The 15,249-nt window shown below is 44.4% G+C and overlaps 1 protein-coding gene across 13 annotated transcripts in view, besides 3 other annotated features; it reads right to left on the reverse strand.

Annotated features, from left to right (window-relative positions):
* The window catches only part of GAB3 (GRB2 associated binding protein 3), a 76,318-nt gene extending 72,100 nt beyond the window's left edge, over positions 1–4,218 (reverse strand). For 10 of the 13 annotated variants that reach the window (XR_938505.2, NM_080612.4, XM_011531106.2 and 7 more), the window contains exon 1: positions 3,606–3,729. Coding sequence is in view for 11 of the 13 variants with exons in the window: in NM_080612.4 (NP_542179.1) it covers positions 3,606–3,677 (72 nt within the window). In the remaining 2 variants the exon portion in view is untranslated. Of the gene's footprint in view, positions 1–3,605; positions 3,730–4,143 lie in introns of those variants that run through there. The other 3 variants (NR_104114.2, XM_047441835.1, XM_047441834.1) reach the window with 1 other exon arrangement.
* Positions 3,375–3,434: a silencer, noted in NCBI's record as "silent region_21116". NCBI's record gives its function as "represses an Ori minimal core promoter by ATAC-STARR-seq in GM12878 lymphoblastoid cells {active_cell/tissue: GM12878}" and the evidence as "EXISTENCE:reporter gene assay evidence [ECO:0000049][PMID:35858748]".
* Positions 3,605–3,684: a silencer, noted in NCBI's record as "silent region_21117". NCBI's record gives its function as "represses an Ori minimal core promoter by ATAC-STARR-seq in GM12878 lymphoblastoid cells {active_cell/tissue: GM12878}" and the evidence as "EXISTENCE:reporter gene assay evidence [ECO:0000049][PMID:35858748]".
* Positions 15,137–15,196: an enhancer, noted in NCBI's record as "active region_30068". NCBI's record gives its function as "activates an Ori minimal core promoter by ATAC-STARR-seq in GM12878 lymphoblastoid cells {active_cell/tissue: GM12878}" and the evidence as "EXISTENCE:reporter gene assay evidence [ECO:0000049][PMID:35858748]".

The following is a 15,249-nucleotide window of genomic DNA, read 5'->3' on the forward strand; positions in this document are numbered from 1 at the left end:
GGAATAAAGGCAGTCTACTCAATAAATAGTACTGGAACAAATGAAATCGGTATGCAAGAAAAGAAACCATGATACAAACCTCACAGCTTTTATAAAATTTACTCAAAATGGATCATAGATCTAAATATAAAATATCTAAATATAAAATATAAAATTATAAAACTTTCAGAGGCCAGGTACATTGGCTCACGCCTGTAATCCCAGCACTTTAGAAGGCCAAGGTGGAAGGATCACTTGAGGCCAAGAGTTGGAGACCAGCCTGCGGGCAACATGGAGAAATCCTGTCCTCTCTACAAAAAATACAATTAGCAGTGCATGGTGGGGAGCAGCTATAGTGCCAGCTACTCAGGAGACTGAGGTGGGAGGATCACTTGAGCCCAAGAGGTCAAGGCTGGGTGACAAAGGATCTTAGGCTAGATGAAGAGTTGTTAGATTTAACATTAAATCCATGATTCATAAAAGAAAAATTGTATTGGGGATTTCATTAAAATTTTTAAATTTTAGTTCTTCAAAAGAGGATGAAAAGACAAAAACTATGGGCTGCTAGAAAATATTTGCAAATTAAATATGCAACAAAGAACCTATATCCAGAGAACCTATATCCAGGGACAAAAACAGTGCCTGGCTCTTGGCATTGTTTTGAAAACTAAATGAGTTAATACAAGTTCTTAGTGTAGTGCCTGGCACATATAAACATTCAATAAAAGTGAACTATTATAGCTTTATTATCACTGTTATTATAGGACTCTTTAAAATGGATAAAAATAGATGCAAGCCAAATGTTCACCAATAGAGAAATTGTTATATTATATGTATTACAAGGAATATTTGACAATGCTTTAACGAATGAAGTAAATCTATATGTACTAACCTGGAAAGATGTCCAGGATGTTTGTGAACAAAGCAAATTGCAGGACCGTTAGTAGAATATGATCCCAGTTGTGCAAAAAGAAAATTATATATTTTCTGAAAAATTTTGTAGAATGGTACTCACTGAACGGCTCACAGTTGTTATCCCTGGGTTGGGGAGTGGAATAAGGAGGAGAGCAAAGGGAAGGTAGCGGGGTAGGGGAAATTTAAAGGGGGTCTTCACTTTTCATTCTATTTATTAACATAAGAATATATTTCTTGTGAAACAAAAAATACAGATGAAAATAACTATCTTTTAAAAGACCAGTGATAAAAAATAACTTTCTGATTGTCTTCACTGATGGATTCAAGTGGATGAAGTACAAGCCTACTTTGGACTGAAAGGTTTACCTAAAAACTGCCTGAGCTTCCATTTGTAACAGCAAACATTGATGGAGTGCTGCTTGCTGGCCTGGCAGCACGAATAACTGAGTTATTGTCCTGGTTGTGCCAATAACTAGTTTTGCTATGTTACTATTATAAATGTTAAACTATAAACTGGAATCAAGTCTTTTTTTTCTGTCTTCCCAGCCTGTAACACAGGGCCTAGTTCGGAGTTAGCGCTCCGTTAACGGGAGGGAGTGACAGGAATTGAATTTAAGCAGCTGTAACAGCCCTATCCAGGCCCCGTCGAAGTGACACATGATCACCATCTAGTGGTGAAAAAGATTCCTGCAGAATTTAGCTATGAGAGGAAAAAGAATTCTTTCTGTGGTGTGTTCCAGGGACAGATGCCTGTCAGCGAAAAAAGCATTGACTAGATATGATCTTTCTTAGAGACAGTTCCCAAACATCAAGGTTTATGTCTTGGAGTGTTGGTAAGATGACACCTAGGTACTCTTGTGTCTTAAGTCTAGTCACTGCCCCATCATCACACGCCCCACATATCTCTAAGCTGCGCAGTGTCCACTCTTGCCACATCCCCTAAAGGAATGAACCGCGTGTGATAATAGGCACACACACTCATGCCTTCCCAAAGTTGATGAAATACTAATAAACTTCCCTAAGCCAGTCTGCTTAAGATACAAAAAAAGACTGGGAAATAAAATATTCTATAATCTTTGCCCTCCAGGGGCATCTTTCTGTATCATCTACTGAAATTGTATAGTGAACCTTTAAAATGTCTGTCATTCCAAAGGACAACAAGGAAACCCATCCTGAGTCAACACTGCAAGCACTACTGTGTGACAAAAGCCTCACCTGCTCATGCAGGTGATGGGAGCAGGTTTTCTTCTCTTGCCTCCTTTGAGTAGCTTCACAGTTAAGGAAGCAGCTGGATAATGCAGAGGCCAAGAGATATTGGACCCTGTGCTTATGGACTCCTGGACTCAAAAGCAAATGATGTAGGGACACACTGGCACTTAGAGAAATCTCAGTATTTATGCACTCCTGATATTCACGTGCTAAATAGAACAACCTTCCTCTAAAGTTCTGTTCTGCAGAACAAACAACAAAAATCTTTTCAAAGACCCCTAAGAGAGAAACACACACTGTCTAGCCCGATGTGAATGGGGAAAGAGGGCTTGAGCAACTCTATGTTCAGGAAAATCTCCTGCCACACATTCTGGAAGTATTCATACATTATTAAAGTCTTTTTATAATCCCACCTCTTGAACTTCCACACAATATGTGCCTCATCTATGTGGGAACAAAAACAGTTGTGAAATTTGGCCAGAAGAGGACAGCAGTTTGAGAGCACTGTATAGACAAGAGCACAAGGCTGAACCACATTTGGGGTGGGCTGCTTTGGATGAGCGCAGACATGCGCGAGTTTGTTCCTACCACCGTGCAGTGAAGTTGCAGAGAAATTAGGAATTAAGAACAAGATGAATCCATCCAGCTACTCCCAGCCTAAAAAAAGCAAGAAGTCCTAATAGCTATTTATATGCAACTCCCTGGGGACTGAAGTGGTTCTTCCTAATGGCTGAAAAACACTGAGTAGCAATCAGGTCTTTAAGCAGAATGTTTTTAAGACCTTATCGTGAGGACGCTGATGGAGATAATGAACGTTTGAGGTGTCGATAGTACATCTTAAAACGGTAATGGAATAGGTAGGAAGATTCGCTCTTCCAAGTATTCCTAATTTCATATTAGTAAAAGTCAGTTGTCCAGCTGGCACTATAAAAGCGCGGTGTCAGCATTAAGAAGAAGCTGAAAGGAGTTACACGATGAGAAACGAGTTACACTGTGTAGGGTTCCAGACAGCAGTGTCCGATGACAGCTACAAGAGCAGCACTCCTTACTCCTTACGGTCCAGGGGGAATGCAGGCAATTCCCCTCTGGCTGTCAGTCTCCCTATCCCCTGCCGCGTCTCCTTCGCGGGGCGATGGGTCTCAGAGCCACCCCCAGCCAAAGAAAGGGGCACGCTTTCGAGATGTCTCCCTGGCCGCTCCTGTACGGAGAGTGGCGCCTGAGGTTTCAGCCCCAACCCGCCTCCCTCCGCTAGAGTCAGCGGCGGTCTGGAGTCCCTGAGCCCCGCGGGCAGGCGCCACCTGGTCTCCGGCCCGCTGCCTAGCACAGCGGCGAAGCTGGCTCGACGTGCGATTTCGGTTTCCGTCCGTCGGCCTCGCCCGCAGTCCCGGGCGCTGGGAGCGGCTGCGCCTGGCGCGCCCGGAGCCCAGCGGCTCCCCGCGGCCGCCCCGCGGGCGGGTGCCCCGGGACGCGAAGGCCGGGCGGGTGGCGGCGCCCCTACTCACGTAGCGCTGTAGCTTCCTCTCGGGGGGCGACTTAACGAGCCAGCCGGTGCACACTGCGTCGCCCGCACTCATCGTGGCCGCCGCCGCCGCTTCCTCCAGCTGGGCCAGCCGCCCGCGGCAGAAGGAAGTCGGGCCAAGGATGCCGGCGGGGCGGGCCCAGCGCCCGCCCGCCCAGCGCCGCCCCGAGCGGCCGCTGCGACCCCCGCCTCCGGCCGCCGCGGCCCCCGGGGAGGGAACCGACGCCGCCCGCAACCCAAGACGGCGGGAAAAGCAAGCAGCGAAGCCTGGGAAGCCCCTTCGAGCAACTGCAGCTCCGCCAGCGGCTGTGCCCGGGGGGGGGGTGTGGGGGGGGGAGCCTACGCAGCAGGGCGCCTGCCACTCTCACCCAGGGTCACGAGAAAGCGCTCGGAAGGAGCCCTGCGACCTAATGGGAGCACAGCCTGGAACCTGTTGCCCTCATGCCCCATCCCCAATCCGCCACGCCAAACGGGCTGGTCCCTGGGTCTCAGGGACCCTGGAGCTGAAACCCAAGTACCACCTGCATCTGCCATGTGCATAGTTCACGGAGAAACAAAAGCAAGACTCCTCTTGGACTTCCCTATTCCACTTGATTGCTTGCACAGTAGTGTGTTTTCTATGTCCCTCCCCCAAAGATCGTTGTATTCAGTGATAAGCTTTGCCGGCTAAACGGTCTAAATGTCTTAATGAACCCAAATGACCCAAACTCAAAAGGTAGTGCTGTTTGCAATCTCTTTGACTCGAAGGTTTTAAAAGATGGATCTAAAGTCGATTGTGCCAACTAGTGTGCTGACCACGCTAAGTAAAAATAACAATCATGAGCACCTAACACTTGTGACCTTCCTTACTGCCAAGCTAACACCATGCCAGCGATTGTGCTAAGCACTTTCCAGGCGTTATCTCATTGAATCCACACAACACCCTGTCAAAGGGCTCTTATTATTATCTCAATTTTGCAGGTTACTAAAATGAAAAACAGGATGACAGTGTCACTTGTCGAGAGCCACACGAGAAAATCATCCATAGGCAGCCAGAGCTGTGTCAAGAGCCCATCCACTTAAGCACCACCCTCTGCTTTTTGTGGGTATCATCTATGTGACGTTTGCTAGCATCTTCAACAGAATGACCAACCTCCCATCCTATCAGGCCAGATGCTTCAGGGTGATGAGCTAACATGGTAACACCAGTGGAGTCCATCAGCATGCGCACACTGGCTTATAATGATTTTCTTGTGTGAGATAATGTCAGTGTGAATAATGGGTTCAGTAAGTCAATGGGCAGGAGTGCCAGCAGAAATGTGAATTTTAAAAAAGCGAATCCATGTACAAAATTAGTACCTGTTCAAGTGAGAAAAAATTGCTGCCCCTTCCAGATGGCAGTCCAGGTGGCTGTCTGGTCCCCCCAGGGAATGCTGTTATTAAGGGTTCATTGTTTGTCTCTGCCTGTGGGCAGCTTGAGCACTTAGCAGTGGCTGTGGCCATATCAACTGTTGCCAGTCCCTGAGAGCCCCACTATGCATTGCTAATTCTCTAAGTCTTGCTTACACCTCTGTTAAAAAAAAAATCCCTTAATTATACTTTCCTCATTTCAACCCCTTGAGTCTACTGTTTGCTTCCTTTTGAAACCTTGACCGATAGACCTGGTCATGAGGAACTCCCTACGACATTCTGGGTGTAAGTCCAGGGAATGGTGATCATGCAGCAGCAGGGGCCACAAAGATGTGAGCCACCTGCTCTAGCAACTTTCCTGTACCTTCCAGACCTGCTTGAGTCTGGTCTCAAATATTCCACTTCCAAAAGAGGATGAAATAGCACCAAATTTATCAGTGGCAGCTGAAGTTCCATGGTTCTTTGGTGCCCCATGGTCAAGCATTCAGACTTTGCCACAGCCCAGGAGCAAGCTGGAAGCTGTTGGTCAAAAGGAAAATACTTCTTTTGTGGTAGAGGGCATGGTTTACTTCAAAACTCTAGGGCTTTGCTGTGTGTTTCTCCTACTGGGACTTGCCAGAGGCTCCGTGTAGCCTCCCAGTGTGTCAAAGGTCCTGTACCTGTTGAATCTACATGGTCATAAGGGTCAAGTGGCCTGGACCTGTCACAGAGCCTTTTCTTGCCCTGGATCTCTCCCCGAAAACATGCAACCCTACAGATGACTTGCTGAGTGCATTGGTGCGGCACAATTAAATGTAGCATATGTTGCCTACAAAATTCAAACATCCACACCAAATGCCGTGCCTCTTTCTGAGTGGTAGGTGGTAAGCGGTACAACAACATGTTGAATACCCAACGTGGTCCAGACCATCTAAAAACTTTGCTGAGGTTCAGGCTCTTGAGTTTTCATGGGGCTTATCTCCTGCCCTGTGGTGTACTTGTATCTTAATAAAGCATCTAGAGTATTCGCTACCTCTAGATCATCAGGTCCAGTACATATGTCATCAGTGTAATAAACCAGCACAACATTCACAACAATCAAGCTCCATTCAACGTGGATTATGACAGTGAGCCAGAGAATAGATATAGTCCTAAGGTTGTACTTCTGTTCCCGCTAGATGAAAGTAAGCTGCTTCTAGTGTTCTCTGCTGAATGGGAAAAAATAACATTTGGCAAAGGAATAGCTGTATCCCAGGTGCCAGGGGGCTATGTTGATTTGCTGTAGGAAAACAGCATCATCTGGAATAGCAGCTTCAGTTCGAATCACAGCCTGATTAATTCTACAATTACCCACTACTAATCTCCAGACTAGCCAGATGGGTTAAATAAAGATGTGATATGAGTAACTATTCCCGTATCTTTTAGGGTACCCTGTTCTCACTGCCAGAGAAATCGAAATTGTTCCTTTCATGGAAACCCATCTTAGCTTCTCTGCACTCTAGCCTGGGGAGAGGAGAGAATTTGAATAGCAAGTGATTTTTGGCACCTGCATTCCCTTTGTGGCTTCCCCATTTATTTTTTGTTTAAAATACACTTTGTTTCACAGTTCATTAACTTCTGTAAATCTTATAACTACAAACTTGTGAAAATAAATGCCTACTATTACAGAAGAGTTTCTATCTCAATTTCATCATGATGAGTCAAAGTGACTATGCATCTAACTTATTTGCTATGAAAAGAAAATTTGAAAAGAAAACTCTGGATCATAGACAGGCAGGGGAAACAGCTTCAAATGTGTGTGAGAGTCAGTAATGAGGAAAAGGACTGCACCTTCCTATATCTCCCACCTCCCACCCACCTCTTGATTTAATAAATCTAAGAAGTATGTGAATTAAAGGCCTGGAGTGCCATGGCACAAGTTCAGATAGGGGAACACTCTTTTTCCTCTATAGGCATCCATAAACGACTTCTCTATGAGTTAAAATCATCTAATTTTCATGTGGAATATGAAATTTGACTTTATTATTATCAGTGATAGTCTTTCATCATATCCATTATTGTTGTATTTAAAATTGCCCAAAATTGGTCAGGTATGGTGATTCACACCTGTAATCCCAGCCCTGTGGGAGGATGAGGCAGGAGGATCCCTTGAGCTCAGGAGTTTGAGACCAGCCTGAGCAACATAGGAAGACCTCATCTCTAAATAAATAAGAGATTGCACAAAATTGTTGTCATAAGTCCAAATCAAACACTTCTCAATTCATTCTATAAAGCCAGTATTACTCTGATACTTCCAAAACCAGAAAAAGTTAAAAAAAGAAGGCTACATGCCAATATGCCTCATGAATATAGACACAAAAATCCTTAGAAAAATACTAGCAAATAGAATCCACAAATACATAAAAATAATTATACACCATGCATCTCAGAGATGCAAGGCTTGTTCAATATTTGAAAACCAATTAATGCAATACAGTACATTAACAGACAAAAGAAGAAAAATCACATGATTTATCAGTTGATGCAGAACGAGCATTTGACAGAACTCATGACAAAAACTCTCAGAAAACTCTCAGAAAATGGGGGAATTTCCTCAATTTATTAAAGAACATCTGCAGAAGACCTACAGGTAACATCATACTTGCTGGTGAAAACCTGGACACTTTCCTCCTAAGACTGGGAACAAGGCAAGGATATCCACTCTCACCACTTGTATTCAACATAGTACTAAAAGTCCTAGTTCAGTACAATAAGATAAGAAAAAGAAACAAATGGCATAAAGATTGGGAAGAAAATGTCTCAATTTGCAGAAGATAATTGTCTCCTTAGAAAATCTCAAGGAATATGCAAAAACAACTCCCAAAACTAATAAGTGAGTTTTGCAAGGTTGCAGGATACAAGGTCAACACATAAATCTCTTTATACGATTTCAAGGCTTATTATAAAGCTACAGTAATCAAAACTTTTTGTATTGGTGAAAGGATAGACATATAGATAAATGGTACGGAATAGAGAGCCTGGAGATAGGCTCACATAAATTCGTCCAACTGGTTTTTGACAAAGGTGCAAAAGCAATTCGATGGAGGAAGGATAGTCTTTTCAACAAACTGTAGCAACTGGACGTCCATAGGCCGAAACCAAACAAAAAACCTCAACCCAATCCTCACACCTTATACAAAAATGAACTCAAAATGGATCCTAGATTTACATATAAAATGTAAAACTACAAAACTTTTAGAAGATAAAATAGGAGAAAATCTTTGGGACCTACGACCTGGTGATAAGTTCTTAGACATGGCACCAAAAATGCAATCCATAAAAGAAAAACTTGATGCCAGGTGCAGTGGCTTATGCCTGGAATCCCAGCACTTTGGGAGGCCGAAACAGGAAGATCACTTGAGCCCAACAGTCTGAGACCAGCCTGAGCAACAAAGGTAGACGGTGTCTCTACACCAATATTTTTTAAAAAAATTAGCCAGGTGTGGTGGTGCACACCTGTAGTCCCAGCTACTCAGGAGATTGATGCTGGAAGATGGCTTCAGCCCAGGAGATTGAGGCAGCCATGAGTGACAGAGCAAGACCTCACCTCAAAAAAAAAAAACAAAAAAAAAAAAAAGAAAAAAGTGATAAATTGGACTTCATCAAAATTAAAACTTGTGCTCTACAAAATACCTTGTTAAGAAGTATAAAAAGACAGCCAGGCATGGTGGCTCACACCTGTAATCCCAGCACTTTGGGAGACCGAGGCAGATGAATCACCTGAGGTCAGGAGTTCGAGACCAGCTTGGCCAATATGGTGAAACCTCGTCTCTACTAAAATTACAAAAATTAGCTGGGCGTGGTGGTAGGCCCTTGTAATCCCAGCTACTCGGGAGGCCGAGGCAAGAGAATTGCTTGAACCTGGGAGACAGAGACAGAGACAGAGGTTGCAGTGAGCCCAGATCATGCCACTGCACTCAAGCCTGGGCAACAAAACTGGAACTCTGTCTAAAAAAAAAAAAAAAAAAAAGTATAAAAAGACAAGCTACAGACTGGGAGAAAATATTTACAAATCATGGATCTAACAAAGGACTCATATCAAGAATATATAAAGAATTACCAAAAATAAACAGTAAAAAAAATCCAAATAGAAAATAAACAAAAGATATGAAGAGATATTTCACTGAAGAGGATATACAGGTATCAAATAAGCCCATAGAAAGAGGTTCAGCATCATTAGCTATTAGAGAAGTGCATATTAAAACCACCACTACCTACTCATCTAAATGGCAAAAAAAAAAAAAAAAAGTCAGCTGGCCGGGCACAGTGGCTCAAGCCTGTAATCCCAGCATGTTGGGAGGCTGAGGCAGGCAGATCACCTGAGGTCAGGAGTTTGAGACCAACCTGGCCAACATGGTGAAACCCTGTCTCTACTAAAAATACAAAAATTAGCCAGGCGTGGTGGTGCGTGCCTGTAATCCCAGCTAATAGGGAGGCTGAGGCAGGAGAATCACTTGAACCTGGGAGGTGGAGGTTGCAGTGAGCCAAGATTGAGCCATTGCACTCCAGCCTGGGTGACACAGCAAGACTCTGTCTCAAAAAAAAAAAAAAAAAGTCAGCAAAATCCCCACATTGGGCCAGCCACGGTGGCTTCATGCCTGTAATCCTAGCACTTTGGGAGGCCAGGGCAGAAGGATTGCTTGAACCTAGGAGCTCAAGATCAGCTTGGGCAACATATTGAGACCGTGTATCTACACAAAACCCAAAAATTTGCTGGGCATGATGGTGCATGCCTGTAGTCTCAGCTACTTGGGAGGCTGACATGGGAAGATGACTTGAGCCCAGTAGGTTGAGGCTGCAGTGAGATGTGATCACACCAATGCACTGACAGAGTGTGAGACTCTGTCTCAAAAGAAAACAAAACAAAATTCCCACAATGATTTCCTGACCTACAGAATGAGGCCATCATGACAGAAAGGCCCAAGTGGAAACCCCTAGAGTTTCCCCTTCTCACAAAGTGTAAATCAAAACAAATAATACCACATACTTAGGAGCAATTTCAGAAATTAGTTCCCTCATCAAAGACTTGAAAAATGCAGGGAAGGAAATTCCTATCACACCCTCATTTAATTCATCCGTTTGGCCTGCACAGCAGGTGGTTAGGTCTTGGTGAACGTGGCAGTTTTTTTTTTTTTTTTTTTTTTTTTTTTGAGACGGAGTCTCGCTCTGTCGCCCAGGCCGGACTGCGGACTGCAGTGGCGCGATCTCGGCTCACTGCAAGCTCCGCCTCCCAGGTTCACGCCATTCTCCTGCCTCAGCCTCCCGAGTAGCTGGGACTACAGGCGCCCGCCACCACGCCCGGCTAATTTTTTGTATTTTTAGTAGAGACGGGGTTTCACCGTGTTAGCCAGGATGGTCTCGATCTCCTGACCTCGTGATCCGCCCGCCTCGGCCTCCCAAAGTGCTGGGATTACAGGCGTGAGCCACCGCGCCCGGCCAACGTGGCAGTTTTAAACCAGGACTCCAGAATTCTTAACACTCCTCCCACTGAGAGGTGGGGTTAATGTTCCCTCCCCCTGAACCTGAGCAGGCTTGTGGCTGCTTCAACCATAGACTGCAACAAAAATGGCATGATGAGACTTCCAAGGCCGAGTCATAAAAGGTGATGCAGCTTTTTGCCTTTTTCACTCTAACCCTTGCTTTGGAGGTCCTGAGCCACCAAGTACAGACTCCAGCTAGTCTAAGGCTGCCACGCCATAAAGAGAGGCTGTGTGTAGTAGGTGCTCAAGTTCCAGTGGAACCCAGCCTTCCAGCCATCCTAGTATAGGCAACAGGCATGTTAGTGAAGAAGCTTCCAGAAGATTATAGCCTCCAGCCATCCTGTCACCCCTATCCATCAAGTCATCTCAGCCAAGACCTCAGACATTACAGAGCAAAGAGAAACCATTCTCACTGTGTCCTGTCTTGATTTCTCACCTGAAGAACCTGTCAGCACAATGAAATGGCTGTTTAATGGCACTAAGTTTGGGGATGGTTTGTTATGCAGCAGTAGAAACCTAAACTGTGGACATTAAACGACTGTGGATTACTGAAAGCATAATCAGGTGGTTATTTCAAGTGCTGCTACGGTTACAGGTGTGATCTATTTGCTAAAACAATTCCATACCTCTTCCAACATTCTGTAGGCAGCCGTTGATCTGGCCAATGATAAAATGGCCTGTTGAAGATTCTGCTGTGTTCCTAGTTGGGACACAACACTCTTGTGAGGATCTGGACCATACGCTGAACTAGAAACCATTAAATGGTGCAGTTTTTCTCATGGTCAGAATATAAGAGGTCTGGAAAACAGAGTTGAGGTGGGGAATGGCATATCTCACAGACATGCTGAATAATCTGCCTTCAGAATTTTTGCTTCTCAACCTCATGACTTTGTACCTGGCTGGTTTAGATTCTAGTACCCAAGAAAAACATGCTTCCACTTATGAGAATCGCTCCACTAACTTGCAAACAGAGCCACTTGGCCACTTCTGGCTCCTCATTGCCATTACCCAATCCTCCCCTCTCCAGCTGACTTCCAGTTACAACTCGTTGCCCAGAATTGTGCCGCATGGCCACCCTAACTGCAAGAGAGGCCAGTAAATGATGTGACAAAGGATCTGACTGGCTTAGAGCGACTGTGATGCTTGCCCTGCTGCTGGGCACAGTGCTGTCCTGGCCAAAACTGGGGCTCTGTTATGGAGAAAGAAGAGGAAAGGGATGTCTGTTAGGCAGCCAACTAACAGTGCTTACCACACATGACCTAGTGAAACGTTTTAGAAGCAGTATAACCCTACAGGACCTGAGGGCAGGAGAGCAGGCTGGGAACTAAAGAGCATCCATGCAGGGCATTGTTAGGGGCTTTTCTCTTAGAGTACAAAAAGATATTTAGAGCTATTGTTTCACATGCCTTTCTTTAAATGTGATTTTCAGTTTTTACCTCTGCCAACATCCACTAAAGTCTTATTTAATGGTATAACTTGGTGTGGTGTGGTGCTGTGAAGGTGAGAGATGAGACATAAACAATTTTGAGGCCTACCCTTAATGTTCACTCACCCCACTCTTTAAACCTGTTCTTTATTGAGTCCCACAGTCTATAATACCCTTCCAATAATAACAGTCTGTTTCTTGTACTTCCAAACAAAACATTTCTAAGTGGCACAAGATTTGGTACTAGAAGCAAAGTCTTCCATGAGTCTTGCATTCAGACAAATGCAAGAATTTTGTTTTGGTTACCTGGCTAGATGTGGTGAAAACAATGTGGTGAAAAATAATCTGGGATGGGAATCTAGTAGCTTACAGCATTTATTAGCAAAACACCTCCTTCAATCCTTGTACACTCTCACCTGAACTCTATCGTCCATTGCAGTTAAAGCTCTGGGATAGGCTTCTTGGTCCAGGCATCACCTCCACATGAACCTCTATTCCAGCGTCTATACCAAGAAATCAGCCTGATTTAAAATGATCTTCTCTCTTTTTGGGTCAAGAACCTTCACATATCATTTACATAAATATTACCTGTTTCCTGGTACATGTTTGCAAACTCCTACTACTGTTTTCATATGCAAGCTTTCTCCTGCTGCATGACTTAAATTGTTCAGTTGAGGCAATGTAGAGGTTAACTCTAGTTACAGGCCTGGAGACATTGGGGTGGGAGAGTAGGAGGGAAGTGCCTTTGCTTCCCTGCTAATTCCCTCATGAGACAGTAAGGGAACCTGCAATCAGATAAACGTGGGGGTTGTTTAACAATGGAGGCTCAGTAAGAGTTGGGGATTCTGGGGACTCCCAATTCTCCAATTTACTCCCATTTCAAATCCCAGTGTTCTATGCTTTTCTGATCGTGGCCCCAACCTTTACTAAGAGAACTGAGAAGGCTGCGAACTCACTGAGTTTTGTAATTTGGAAAGGTGATGGGTCAAAATTTTAAAGTTTGGTTTTTAGTTGTTTTATTCTTGTGCCTGTAAAAGATAAGTAATTCCTTAAGCATTGTTATAGAAATTCCCTCTGTGACCCAAACCAAAAATTCGAGGAATTTGGCTGTCATTTAGATGATCCCAAACCATCATGAGTGGCCATCCTATCCCACAATTCTTGAAATCCTGTGCAACCATCACCAAAATGTAATTTTAGAACCTTTTTTTATCACCTCAAAAAGAAACTCTGTGCCCATTAGCAGTCATTCCCCATGTTCCCCTAAATTCCTAGGCCAAGGCTACCACTAATCTGCTTTTTGTCTCTAGATTTGCCTAGTCTGGATATTTCCTATAAATGGAATCACACAAAATGTGGCCTTTGGTGAATGGCTTCTTTCACTCAGCATAATGCTTTCAATGTTGTATCCATGTTGTAGCATGGATCAGTACTTCATCCCTTTTTACGGCTCCATTGTATGAATAGACCACATTTTGTTTATCTATTCATCTGTTCATTTTGGTTGTTTCTACCTTTTGGCTATTGTGAACAGTTCTTCTATGAACATATGTGTACAACCATCTATCTAAAAATCCATTTTCGATTCTCTTGGGTCTATACCTAGGAGTAGAATTGGTGAGTCATATGGTAACTCTGTGTTTAACCTTTCAAGGAATTGCCAGACCATTTTCTAAAGTGGCTGCATCATTGTACTTGATGGTACTCATGGTTTGGTCAGACAACACCCAGTTTATCATGGGCAGGTCAGGTCTTAAGACCACATGTATCACAGTCATTCCGTTTCAGTAAATAATTACAGCAAGCCAGGAGCTTTTCCTCCTGGCAAATTATTATTTTTTGTGTGTGGAGGTCTTAGCTTTAAGTTTATTTCAAATTCCAGAGGGCTGAACTGTGAGTCTCTTATTAAAGCTTGGAAAAGGCTCTGTGTAGCATCCTAATGGGGTATGCCATCTCCAGAAAATGGCCCACTGAGTGTCATGCTTCTTTTTTAGCAAGCAGAGGGTTCCAAGTAAGGCAACTTGTCTTTCTCTTTGGAGGGACCGTCTCAACATGCCTCAGCCCACTGCATGCCCAGGAAGTTCACTGAGGTATCACCTCCCTGAATTTTCAAGGGGCTTCTCTCTCACCTTGTGGTGAAATATTTGCCACTTCCTATGCATCAGGTCCACTCAGCATGATGTCTTGGGGTACAGTGAGATGATCAAATCAGTTCCCAGGGACTCAATTATGATAATGTGCCAGAGGCTTCCTTTGTTCTTTCCTTCCATTATCACCCTCAGTCCTTGAGTCAGGAAGCCCCTCTGGGAATTTATCCAGCTACCAATTGTGTTTATTACAAGTATGGATTCAAGAACCGGGGAAAGAGCCACAGGGTGGCTGATAGTGAAAGGGACGTGGGCTGACTCCACTTCTGACCATTGGACCAAGTGGCATTCTACTTCCCCAGTGATTCACACGGGCTAGTGCAAGCCCCTGGTAAATGGCCACGGGTCCCACGAGAAGGGAGGAGGCAGGCTGAAAGTACACACTTGTAGCGTTACATGTGCCTGGCCTCACCTTTACAGGCTCACCTCACGGGCTCTGGCCTGTGGACTGACTAGATCTGGGAATTAGATGAGGCACCATGATTTTCCATTGTGGTGATTCAAGGCAGAATGCCTTTAGCCAGACCTAGAGTTACCGGGGTTATACAGATCATGATGGCTTACTACAGGACACTGTGATCAATTAGACACCACCAAAGATCCCTGGGGAGAAATCAGTTTGGTTCCAGCTTCCAGCCCTGCTGCCTATCATGATACCCAGGCTCATCCTGTTTCTATGAGATTTAGTGCCAGTGCTTTGTCTCTGCTGTTTGGCGTGAAGCCCGGTCGTAGAGTTCAAATTGAGGTGTGCTGTGAGCATAAACGCACACACCGGAAAGTCTTTGCGGGGACAAAAAAAAAAAACCAATGTAAAATACCCCATTCATACTGTTGTGTTTTGCCTATATGTGGAAATGATAATATTTCGGATACGCTGGGTTAAAAAAATTCATTATAAATCATTTTCACCTTTTTCTTTTTACTCTTCTTTCATGTTGCTGCTGGAAAATTTAAAAGTCAACATGTGGCACGCACACTACTCCTATTGGCCATCTGCTCTAGCTGGATGGGAACTGCAAGCAGCAAAGGCCTTTCAACCTCTCCGAGCTTCAACATGTTCACTTATGCATCAGGACTGATCCAACAGCAACCTGAAAGGGTCGGTGTGAGAAAGCAAAGAAAGAGGTACTGTTTACGGAGCGTTCAGCCGTGAGCCCAGGCGCAGGC

The sequence above is a fragment of the Homo sapiens genome, chromosome X (assembly GCF_000001405.40).
Source record: "Homo sapiens chromosome X, GRCh38.p14 Primary Assembly".
Classification (NCBI taxonomy): Eukaryota; Metazoa; Chordata; class Mammalia; order Primates; family Hominidae; genus Homo; species Homo sapiens.